The sequence below is a fragment of the Homo sapiens genome, chromosome 12, assembly GCF_000001405.40.
Source record: "Homo sapiens chromosome 12, GRCh38.p14 Primary Assembly".
Classification (NCBI taxonomy): domain Eukaryota; kingdom Metazoa; phylum Chordata; class Mammalia; order Primates; family Hominidae; genus Homo; species Homo sapiens.
In genome coordinates, this window is record NC_000012.12 from 119,645,919 (window position 1) to 119,658,245 (window position 12,327).

The 12,327-nt window shown below is 42.0% G+C and overlaps 1 protein-coding gene and 1 long non-coding RNA gene across 5 annotated transcripts in view; one reads left to right on the forward strand and one right to left on the reverse strand.

The window, feature by feature from the left end:
* Nucleotides 1–8,377, forward strand: part of TMEM233 (transmembrane protein 233) — a 60,522-nt gene extending 52,145 nt beyond the window's left edge. For both annotated transcript variants that reach the window (XM_011538329.3, XM_011538330.3), the window contains one exon: nt 8,220–8,377. Coding sequence is in view for 1 of the 2 variants with exons in the window: in XM_011538330.3 (XP_011536632.1) it covers nt 8,220–8,259 (40 nt within the window). In the remaining variant the exon portion in view is untranslated. The remainder of the gene's footprint in view (nt 1–8,219) is intronic.
* PRKAB1-AS1 (PRKAB1, TMEM233 and CCDC60 antisense RNA 1) overlaps nt 1–12,327 on the reverse strand; it is a 280,141-nt gene that overhangs the window by 257,932 nt on the left and 9,882 nt on the right. The window lies entirely within an intron of this gene.

Below are 12,327 nucleotides of genomic sequence, written 5' to 3' on the forward strand. Positions count from 1 at the left end.
GGAACTCATAAAAGGCCAAATTCTGCCTATATAGAAATGGCCTGATCACCCCCAAGAAAGAGGACCTAAAGCACGCCTAGAAGGGAAGGTAAATAAATATTTCTTGAGCCATTACCAAAGCTCATCTAAACAATTACAGTAGCTTTTTTTTTTTTTTGAGATGGAGTCTTGCTCTGTTGCCCAGGCTTGAGTACAGTGGCATGATCTTGGCTCACTGCAACCTCCGCCTCCCAGGTTCAAGCAATTCTTCTGCCTCAGCCTCCCGAGTAGCTGGGACTACAGGCTAGCACCACCATGCCCAGCTAATTTTTTGTATTTTTAGTAGAGACGGAGTTTTGCCATGTTGGCCGGGCTGGTCTCGAACTCCTGGCCTCAAGTGATCCGCCCACCTCGGCTTCCCAAAGTGCCAAGATTAAAGGCATGAGCCACGGCACCAGTCCTACAGTAGCTTTCTTACAGGGCTCTCTGGTATAACAACCATTACAAACTTAATGAGTTAAAACAACCCAAATTTATTATCTTGCAGTTCTGGAGGTCAGAAGTCTAAAACGGGTCTTGCTGGACCAAAATCAAGATGGCGGCAGGGTTGGATTCCTTTCTGGAAGTTCGTAGAGAGAATCCCTTTTCTTGCCTTTTCCACCTTCTAGAAGCTATCCACATGCCTTGACTCAGGGCCTCCTTCCATCTTCAACGGCAGCAAAGTCACCATTTACTTATTTATTATCTTCTTTATTATCTACCTCCTCCCCTTAAGATGCCTTTTTCACACTGCATCTCTTTTGTTCTGACTCCTTTTCCTCTCTCTTCCCCATTTAGGGACCCTTGTCATTACTTTGGGTCCACCTGGATGATCCAGAAAAATCTCCTTATTTTAAGGTCAGCTGATTAGCAACCTTAATTCCATCTGCTCCCTTAATTCCTCTTTACCATGTAACCCAACATATTCACAAGTTCCAGGTGTTTGTATGGGGATATCTTTTGGCGAGCATTATTCTGTCTACTACATCTTGCTTTGACATCCATTCGCTTAAAAAACACACACAGCAGCCAGGGTTATCTCACAACCTAGACTTAATCACATCATTCCTCTGCTGAAACCCAACCCACACACCCAGTGACCACCCACGGAATTAAAACTCAAACTTTCTTTTTTTTTGGAAGAGATGGGAGTCTTGCTATGTGGCCCAGGCTAGTCTCAAACTTCTGGCCTCAAGCAATCCTCCCACCTCTGCCTCCGAAAGTGCTGGGATTGTAGGTGTAAGCCACCATACCCAGCCTTTAAAATCCAAACTTTTTTTGTGTGTCCTTAAAAAGGTCTTTATTACTAAAAGCTGGAAGGTCAGTCTTTAACCCCCAATCACAAAATGCTACTTTGCCTCGACAAGCAGGCTTTTTAGTTGAGTTGGTGTCTCTTTTGTAGTTAAGACAAGCATTTGCCCTTGTTGACCAGTGATCAGGAATCCGTTCTTGTAATTTTGCCCTTTCATCCTTGATAGGTGAAATCAGTACCTTTTCCACAACTTTGTTTATTCTTCATTTTTTTTGTCTTCGGAGTAAAAGACCAAGGGACATTAACAAGTTGATGGTCCCCTAGATATGGGCTCTAGTGCCAGCGAGTCTGTTCTCTTCTTCAGTGTCAAAAGGACTGCTCATTCTGGAGCATCTACTCTTCTGGACTAAAATCCAAACTTTTTTTTATTTTTTAACTTCAAGTTCTGGGATACATGTGCAGAACGTGGAGGTTTGTTACGTAGGTATATGTGTGCCATGGTGGTTTGCTGCACCTATCAACCTATTATCTAGGTTTTAAGCCCTGCATGCATTAAGCATTTATCCTAATGCTCTCCCTCCCTTTGCCCCCCACCCCCCCGACAGGCCCCAGTGTGTTATGTTCCCCTCCCTGTGTCCATGTGTTCTCATTGTTCAACTCCCACTTATGAGTGAGAACATGCGGTGTTTTAAAATCCAAACTTTTAATGATACCCCGCAAAGCCCTACATGATCAGACCCTTGGCTGCCTCTCAGATCTCATCTTCTACCTCGCCCCCACTCTACTCAGCTGCAGCCACACACTGGCCCCAAACATGACAAGATCATTCTGGTCTCAAGGCCTTATGTGTGCTGTTTCCTCCATTCATAACACCATTCTCCAGATTTTCACATAGCTGGTCCTTTCTTCCCCATGCCCTAGGTCACAGTTTCTCAGAGAGGATCAACCTAACCCCCATCTCTAAGGCAACCACCCCACCCCTCATCACTTGCTATTACACCACCCTGTTTTACTTCCTCCATGGGGTTTGCCACCACTAACAATATTTTTATTTAACTGTTTACTTATTTATTATCTTCTTTATTATCTATCTCCTCCCCCTAGGATGTTGACCTTGTGAGGGCAGAGACCTTGTCTGTTCTGTTCACTGATGTGTCCCCAGCATCTAGACTAGGGCTTGGCCCATGGCAGATACTCTATAGCTATTTGCTGAATGAGTGAAAGGTTCTTTTCCCCATGTGCCCTTCCTCCTGGCTAATGTCCACTCCTTTATCTCAGATTAAGTGCCTCTTGTTCAGAGGTGCCTTCTCTGATATGCCAACGTTTCAAGAACATGAGGGTCTCCCTTTTGCATGCTCACACTTCCCCGTGGTTTCACTCAAGGTCATATCACAATGGTAGTTAGATGCAGTTTGCACAATTACCATTTAATATCTGTCTTTCCCAGCAGATCATGAGCCCCCATGAGGGCAGGGACCATGTTCATCTTGTTCACCTCTGTCTTCCTGGTCCCTAGCTTGGTACCTGGCACATAAGTTTCCAATAGTTATTTAATGAATGAATGAATTAATTAATTAATTAATGAGGTAGAGAGAAATGGAAGAAGAAAACTGAGTCAAAGCTTCCTCCATCATCATAGCTTTATTTTTACATTGTTATCTGACAAGATTTAAACTTGAATTTTAAAGCAAGATGAAGCTAACCAAGGTATTGGCTGTAAATCCTGTCTCAAAACTTTCTCACATATTCCTTATCGTGATGGTTTAGAAAAAGGAAGAAATGAAAATCGACTTATACCAAAAAATAATTTCAAGAAGATAGAGACCCGGCTGGGCGCGGTGGCTCATGCCTGTAATCCCAGCACTTTGGGAGGCCGAGGTAGGAGGATCACCTGAGGTCAGAACTTCGAGAACAGCCTGGCCAACATGGTGAAACCCAATGTCTACTAAAAATACAAAAATTAGCCGAGAGTGGTGGTGCATGCTTGTAATCTCAGCTACTCGGGAAGCTGAGGCAGGAGAATCTCCTGAACCCAGGTGGCGGAGGTTGCAGTGAGCCGAGATTGTGCCACTGCACTCCAGCCTGGGCCACAAGAGCAAAACTCTGTCTCAAAAAAACAGAAGAAAAGAAAAAGAAAAGGAGAAGAGAAAAGAAGAGAAAAAGAAAAGATAGAGACCCAAATGAACCCCAGCCTCCTTTGTGCCTGGGATGCCCCCTAGTGGAAAAAATGGAGAAAGACAATTTAGAGTGTTCCCTAACAATTTGACAAATATCGTATTTCTTTGCTTTTTATACTCTCTGAGTTAGTGTAGGATCCAGAAACAAACTGGAAGAAAATCACACAGCTTTGATGAAGCAAAGAAGCAAGATGTTCTAGAGTAATAAACTTTCAGTAAAACAAAAACTGAGCAACTGTTGCTTTGGAACCAGATTTTTGGCTGATCTCTGATGGTAATTTTTGGGCTATCTCACTCTAAGACTTATTTCTGATATGGAACTTTTCAAAAATGATGTAGATTCAATTAGTCACACCTCTGTTCCTTAGAAATTCAAGGTGGATAAGATCATCAAATGCCAACACTGGCTCAGCGGGGCTTGTTCTTCAGTCTCTATATTCTACAATTCTAAACTTAGCTCTTCTGTCCCACGGTAGTTGTTTAACTATTAAAAAAAAAAAAAAAAAAAAAGGGCCGGGCGCGTTGGCTCACGCCTGTAATCCCAGCACTTTGGGAGGCCGAGGTGAGCGGATCACGAGGTAAGGAGATCAAGACCACCCTGGCTAACACGTTGAAACCCCGTCTCTACTAAAAATACAAAAAATTAGCCGGGCGCGGTGGCGGGCGCCTGTACTCCCAGCTACTCAGGAGGCTGAGGCAGGAGAATGGCGTGAACCCGGGAGGCGGAGTTTGCAGTGAGCAGAGATGGCGCCACTGCACTCCAGCCTGGGCAATAGAGCAAGACTCCATCTCAAAAAAAAAAAAAAAAGTGGGTAACTATAATAACAAACATTATGGCTTGCTATTTGCCAGACATTCTGCTAAACCTTTGACATGATCTCTCATTTGATCATTATTAACAACCCTAGATATAAATACCATTAACTTCTCTTTGCATCTGAGGAAACTGAGTCATGGAAGAGTTAAATAATTTGTCTGAGGCACAACTGCTGAATGTTGGGCCATTTGATTTTAAAATCCATGATCTTAATCATTACACTCAATTAACTCCCATAAATGATAAACTAACTCTCAGAGTTTAGTTCATAACTAAGCAAAAATAACAGAACTACTTTCTACGCATAACAGCGTGCAATGACCTAATAGCCTATTACCCATTGTCCCTAATTCGTTGCAAACTTGACATAAATTTCTGTGAGATGAACTTTTACGGCCGATTTGCATTAATTATAACACATTCCTTTTGGGATTGCTTATTTGATTTTGTTGTTGTTGTTGTTGTTGTTGTTGTTTTTGAGACGGAGTCTCGCTCTGTTGCCCAGGCTGGGGTGCAGTGGCACAATCTCAGCTCACTGCAACCTTCACCCCCCAGATTCAAGTGATTCTCCTGCCTCAGCCTCCCCAGTAGCTGGGATTACAGGCATGAGCCACCACACCCAGCTAATTTTTGTATTTTTAGTAGCCATCGGGTTTTGCCATGTTGGCCAGGCTGGTCTTGAACTCCTGAACTCAAGTGATCTCCCCACTTTGACCTCCTAAAGTGCTGGGATTACAGGCACAAGCCACTGCTCCCGGCCTGCTTATTCGATATTTAAGAAGCTCTGAGGTCTCACTTCAATGTCTAAGATATATTTTCTATGCACAATAATTAATATACACAGGAAAGAAAAAACAGCTACATTTCTACTGTTGAAGGATATGAGTCCATCCGAGTATACGATTTAGGATGCTTTGGGTTGTAAGCAACAGAAAATCCAACTGGCTTTAATAAGGGCAGTTACCAGTTCTCACAATGGAAAATTTCAGATAGAAGACAAACTTCAAGGTTGGTTTGATTCTGCACATCACAAATTTAATAGGCTATGGCTCTGTTTCCCTTTGATTTTCTCAGCTTTGTCCACCTTTGTGTATTCTTTGACCTCAAACTGGTTTCTCTCATGGGAGTAGCTCTTCAGGCTACAAACTTCCTCATCAATGTCCTGAGAGAAGGAAGGCCTCTCTACCCTAAACCTTCAGACAAAAGCCCCACTGTATTCTTACTGTAACAGTTAGGTCATACAACCATTCCTGAACCCAGTGCTCCAGTCTGGGTTATGTGACCATTCCGAAAAAAACTGCAGCAAGAAGGGTAGGATTGTCCAGTCAGGACCTGCCTTAAGAATTGCTCAGTAGGCCAGGTGCAGTGGCTCACACCTATAATCCCAGCACTTTGGGAGGCAGAGGTGGGTGGATCATGAGGTTAGGCGGTCAAGACCATCCTGGCCAACATGGTGAAACCCCGTCTCTACTAAATATACAAAAAAAAAAAAAAATTAGCTGGATGTGGTGGCACATGCCTGTAATCCCAGCTACTCGGGAGGCTGAGGCAGGAAAATCACCTGAACCAGGGAGTCGGAGGTTGCAGTGAGCCGAGATCATTCCACTGCAGTCCAGCCTGGCGACAGAGTGAGACTCCGTCTCAAAAAAAAAAAAAAAAAAAAAAAAGAATTGCTCAGTAAACAGTAGCTCTTAGAAATTTTTATTCTAATAAATGAAAATTTCTGTACCCAAGTAAAGTATAAGTAGAATGACTAATAATGAAAAGTTAGTCCACCTCACTCATAAATCAACAAAAGCATAGGAAACCAATGGCATACAACTTTTATTAATCAGACTACCAAAAAAATTTAAAAATTAATAATGCTTAGTGTTGAGGAGGATGTGAGAAACAGATATCACAAACATCATTGCTGCAACACTTTTGGAGAGAAATTTGGCAATTTCTAGCAAAAGTGTAAAGGTATGTACCCTTGGACCTAGTGATTCCATATTAGAAATTATTCCCACTATTTTACTCAGAAAACTATGATATGTGAGCTAGGATATGTGAATCAGTCACATTGTATGGATATACCAAGGCAGTGTTATGTGTGAAAGTTTAAAATGAGAAGCAAAAATGTCCATCAATAGAGACTAATTAGATTTCTGGATTTTAGTAGTGGAGGAGTAACTTATATTGGGCAAATTCCATTGCCTAGTACAGCTACAAACTCTGAACAAAACATTTTTACAAATTAAAGACACCTGAGAACAACTAAAAACTGGAGGGTCAGTAAGAATCCTCATAAAATGGGAATCATCCACATTTACCCGGCTTTTCCTCTGAAGGGTCACCCAGTCTGCATAGCACACAGAGAACAGAGCTCAAGCCAAAAGCAATAGTCTTATTAGGCAGCAGAATCACAGGTTAGAGTTTGGGGCCCCCATGGTGGCTGAAATTTGATGAGAGAAATCCCAGAAATGATAGAGCCACAGAAAAGGGACCTAAAAAATCTGAATATAAACTCCCCTCAAATCCTTGGCTGACTCAAACTGTATTTGTGAAGCCCGACAGAAAACAAAACCAAACCAAAAAGCTGGAGGAGAATGCAAAGAACTGCATTGATCAGTGCTGGGGAGGCAGAGTTTGGAGCTCAAGTTCTACCAAATTAGAGAAACTTAAACTCCTCAGTCTTTCTGTTGAAACCCAGAGGGGTCACAAATTAGTCAGAAAGACCACATCCAAGAACTAGTATGTAGAAGGCACAAAACCAAAATGGATCCACCCAAAAGAAGTCCCAAACCATACCTTCGTAACATAAGAACGAGTCACTAGTAATTTCACTACCAGTTAAAACAAAACTCAACAATTTTCTGAGAAAGATAATAGAATCCAGAGCCTCTGCTATATTATCCACAATGTGCAGTATAAAATTTTAAAATCACTGGGCCGGGCACAGTGGCTCACACCTATAATCCCAGCACTTTGGGAGGCCGAGGTGGATGGATCACGAGGTCAGGAGATGGAGACCATCTGGCTAACACGGAGAAACCCCGTCTCTATCAAAAATACAAAAAATTAACCAGGCAAGGTGGTGGGCATCTGTACTCCCAGCTGCTTGGGAGGCTGAGGCAGGAGAATGGTGTGAACCTGGGAGGCAGAGGTTGCAGTGAGCCGAGATCACACCATTGCACTCCAGCCTGGGTGACAGAGCGAGACGCCACCTCAAAAAAAAAAAAAAAAAAAAATTAATCACTAAACATGTGAAGGAGCAGGAAACTGTGATAGTCAAGAGAAAAAATAGTTAATAGAAACAGACCCAAAGACAATGCAGATGTTGAAATAAGTAGGCAAATATTTTACAATAACTCCAATACATATGTTAAAGAATCTAGAGGAATAGATTAATAGGTGAAGAGGTGATGAGTTTCATGAAGCTATGCAATGTAAAAAAAAATTAAAAAATTTTTTAAAAACCCCTGAAAATCCTAGAACTAAGAAAACAAATCCTGAAATAAATTATTTGTATGGGATTAAGCATACAGAAGAAAGGAGCAATGATCTTGAAGACAGGTAAATAAAAATTATCCAAACTGAAGCAGCAGCAAGAAAAAAGATTTAAAGAAAAAAATAAGCAGAGCTTCAGTGATTTGCAGAGAAGTATCAAGCATTCTACCATATATGTAATTAGAGTCCTAAAAATAAAAGGAGAGAAAGAATGGAGCATTTAAAAAGTTTGCTTAAGAAAAATTGATTTAAATGTTTCCAAATGGTATTAAAAATATCAACCTACATATCCAAGAAGCTAAAAAAAAAAAAAACAAAAACCCAATCAGGATAAATGCAAAGGAAAACACACCTAGGCAAATTACTGGAAAAAGAAAAAATCTAAAAGGCAGCCAGAGGGAAAAATGATACATCACGTACATGGAAACAAAGGTAAAAATGATAATTGACTTCTCTTTTTTTTCAGGTCTTGGCATCAAGACTTGATTCTCATCAGAAACAATTAAATACAGAATAGAGTAGAATGACAACTTTAAAATGCTGAAAGAAAAAAGGTGTCAAGCTCTAGTGAAAATATTCTTCAACAATGAAAGCAAAATAAAGATATTTTTAGTTAAAAACTTAGAGACTTTGTTGCCAGCAGATCTGCATTACAAGAAATGCTAAAGGAAGTCCTTTGGCCTACAGGGAAATGAAACCAGATGGGAATTAGTATTTAAAGGAAAAAAAATGAAAAGTAGTAGGAATATTAAATTTGTGAATAAATATTAAAGACCATAAATCTATGGTCTAATCAAAATCTCAGCAAGACTTTTTGTAGAAACTGACAAGTGGGGTCTAAAATTTATATAGAAAGGCAAAAGAACTGGAATTGCTGAAACAATATTGACAAAGAAAAGCAAAGTTGGAGAAGTTACATTGCCTGATGTGAAGACTTGCCATAAAATTACAGTAATTGAGACAGTGTGAAGCTGGGCACAGTGGCTCACACCTGTAAGCTTTAGGAGGCTGAGGTGGGAGGATTATATGAGGCCAGGAGTTTAAGACCAGCCTAGACAACATAGCAAGACTCCATCTCTACAATTTTCTTTAATTAGCCAGACATAGTGGTACATGAATATAGTCTTAGCCACTTAGGAGGCTTGAGCCCAGGAGTTCAAGGTTACAGTGAACTATGATCATGCACTGCACTCCAGCATGGGTGACAAAGCGAGACGCTGTCTCAAAAAAAAAAAAAAAAAAAAAAAAAAAGACAGTGTGGTATTGATAAGACAGACACATAGATCAATGGAACAAAATAGAAACTTCACAAATAGACCCACACATATATGGTTAATTGTTTTTGTTTTGTTTTGTTTGTTTTTTTGTTTTTTTGTTGTTGTTGTTTTTTTGAGACGGAGTCTCGCTCTGTCGCCCAGGCTGGACTGCGGACTGCAGTGGCGCAATGGCTCACTGCAAGCTCCGCTTCCCGGGTTCACGCCATTCTCCTGCCTCAGCCTCCCGAGTAGCTGGGACTACAGGCGCCCGCCACCGCGCCCGGCTAATTTTTTGTATTTTTAGTAGAGACGGGGTTTCACCTTGTTAGCCAGGATGGTCTCGATCTCCTGACCTCATGATCCACCCGCCTCGGCCTCCCAAAGTGCTGGGATTACAGGTGAGCCACCGCGCCAGGCCTGTTTTGTTTTGTTTTGAGACAGTCTCCCTGTGTTGCCCAGGCTGGTCTGAACTCCTGGCCTCAAGTGATCCTCCCACCTCAGCCTCTCAGGTAGCTGGGATAACAAGTATGAGCCACCACTAGATTAAGTCAATAGATTGTTTTTTGGTTGTTTGTTTGTTTGTTTGTTTTGAGACAGAGCCTCCCTATGTTGCCCAGGCTGGTCTGAACTCCTGGCCTCAAGTGATGCTCCCACCTCAGCCTCTAAGGTAGCTGGGACAACAAGTGTGAGCCACCACTAGACTAAGCCAATTGATTTTTTTTTTTTTTTTTGAGACAGGGTGTCTCTCTGTCTCCCAGCTAGAGTGCAATGCGATCATGGCTCACTGAAGCCTCAACCACCTGGGCTCACATGATCCTCCTGCCTCAGCCCCACAAGTAGCTGGGGCCACAGGTGCATGCCACCATGTCCAGCTAATTTTTTTACTTTTTGTAGAGATGGGGTCTCACTATGTTGCTCAGGGCTGGTCTCAAACTCCTTGGCTCAAGCAATCCTCCCACCTCGACCTCCCAAAGTGCTGGGATTACAGGCATAAGCCACGGCACCTGGCTGTAAATTGATTTTTGGCAAAGGTGCAAAGGTCATCCAATGGAGAAAGAATAGTGTTTTCAACAAATGATGCTGGAATAATTGGACATCCATGTGCCCACAGATGAACTTCAACCCATAGTTCACACCATACATAAAAATTGATTCAAAATAGATCATAGAGCTAAATGTAAAACCTAAAATGATATAATTTCTGAAGAAAATATAGGAGGATGTGGAGAAACTGGAACTCTTGTGTACTGTTAGTGGGAAATGGTACAGCGGCTATGAAAAACAGTATGGCAATTCCCCAAAAATTAAAAATAGAATTACCATAGGATCTGGCAATTCCATTTCTGTATACCCAAAACAACTCAAAGGGACATGAAGAAATATTTGTACACCTGTTTTCTTAGAAGCATTATTCACAATAGCCAAAAGGTAGAAGCAACCCAACTGTCCATCAATAGATGAATGGATAAACAAGCTGTGGTGTATACATACAAAATATGATTCAGCCTTAAAAAGGAAGGAAATTCTGATACATGCTACAGCATAGATGAAACTCAAAGACATTATGCTAAGTGAAATAAGCCAGTTACAGAAGCACAAATACTGTTTGATTCCATACATCTGAGATACTTGCAGCAGCAAAATTTATACAGACAGAAAGTAAAATGGTGCTTGCTGGGGTCAAGGGTAAGATGGAATGAGGAGTTACTGTTTAATGGGCATAAAGTATCAGTTTTGCAAAATGAAAAAACTGTGGATGGATGGTGATGATGGCTGCAAAACAATGTAAATGTACTTAATGTCACTGAACTGTACACTTTAACATGGATAAAATAATAAAGTTTATGCTATGTATATGTATTAATCGCATTTTTCATTTTCTATATCTTATGAGGCTTGACATCTTGGGGACTTACCAACCTGAAAGAGACTGTTTGTCCCAGGGTTAGCTCATTCCAAGAGATAGCAGATGACCTTCCTGCAATATGCAGTCCAACCAATTCAGAGCCCATACTCTGAACCACCTCCTCTCTCTGGCTTTTCCACTCCGAGAGGCAAGTTTCCCCTGCCCTAATCATCCCAGGGTCAGGTATCAGACAGTTAGAGACTACCCCTATAGCCCACAGCTGGCCTGAATTATTCAAACTATCCAATCCTAAGCCCTAATCATCCCAGGGTCAGGTATCAGACATTTAGAGACTACCCCTATAGCCCACAGCTGGCCTGAATTATTCAAACTATCCAATCCTAAGCCCTAATCATCCCAGGGTCAGGTGTCAGACATTTAGAGACTACCCCCCCCAACCCCCTATAGCCCACAGCTGGCCTGAATTATTCAAACTATCCAATCCTAAGCCCTAATCATCCCAGGGTTGGGTGTCAGACAGTTAGGTACGACACCTATAGCCCACAGCTGGCCTGAATTATTCAGACTATCCAATCCTAAGCCTGTTCAGCTGCTTACCTTGCCTCGCCCATTCCTCCTGGCAAAAACCACAATAAAGGCTTTTTCCTAGGCTTTCTTCTCATCCTCTCTGGCTGTGACCAACCTCAAAGTTCTCTCCTGTGGTTCTGCATGGCATGGCGGGCTCCTGCCCCTTGGGAACTGTATTAGACTGTTCTCACACTGCTGTGAAGAAATACCTGATACTAGGTAATTTATAAAGAAAAGGGGTTTAATTGACTCACAGTTCCCCATGGCTGGGAAGCCCCAGGAAACACAATCATGGCAGAAGGAGAAGCAAACAAATCCTTCTTCACAAGGAGGCAGGAGAGAGAAGTGCCAAGCAAAGGGGGAAAAGCCCCTTATAAAACCATCAGATCTCATAAGAACTCACTCACTATCAGGAGAAGAGCATAGAGGTAATCGGCTCCATGATTCAATGACCGCCCCCGCCAAATTCCTCCCACGACACGTGGGAATTATGGGACCTACACTTCAAGATGAGATTTGTGTGGGGACACAGCCAAAGCATATCAGGAACTGTGAGCAATAAAACTATATTTTTAATGGCAATGGTCTTCCGATCCATTGGCCTTACCATACATGAATAAACCCAAAGTCCCAGGTACATTCTAGAACAGTATATCCTACAACATTTTAAAAAATACATTAAGGAAATGATAGATTCAGTACCTTAAGGCAGCAGTCCCCAACCGCCAGGCCACGGACCAGTACCATGGTACGTTAGGAACCAGGCCGCACAGCAGGAGGTGAGCAGTAGGTGAGCAAGTAAGGCTTCATCTGTATTTACAGCTGCTCCCCATCGCTCACATTACTGCCTGAGCTCTGCCTCCTGTCAGATCAGTGGTGGCATT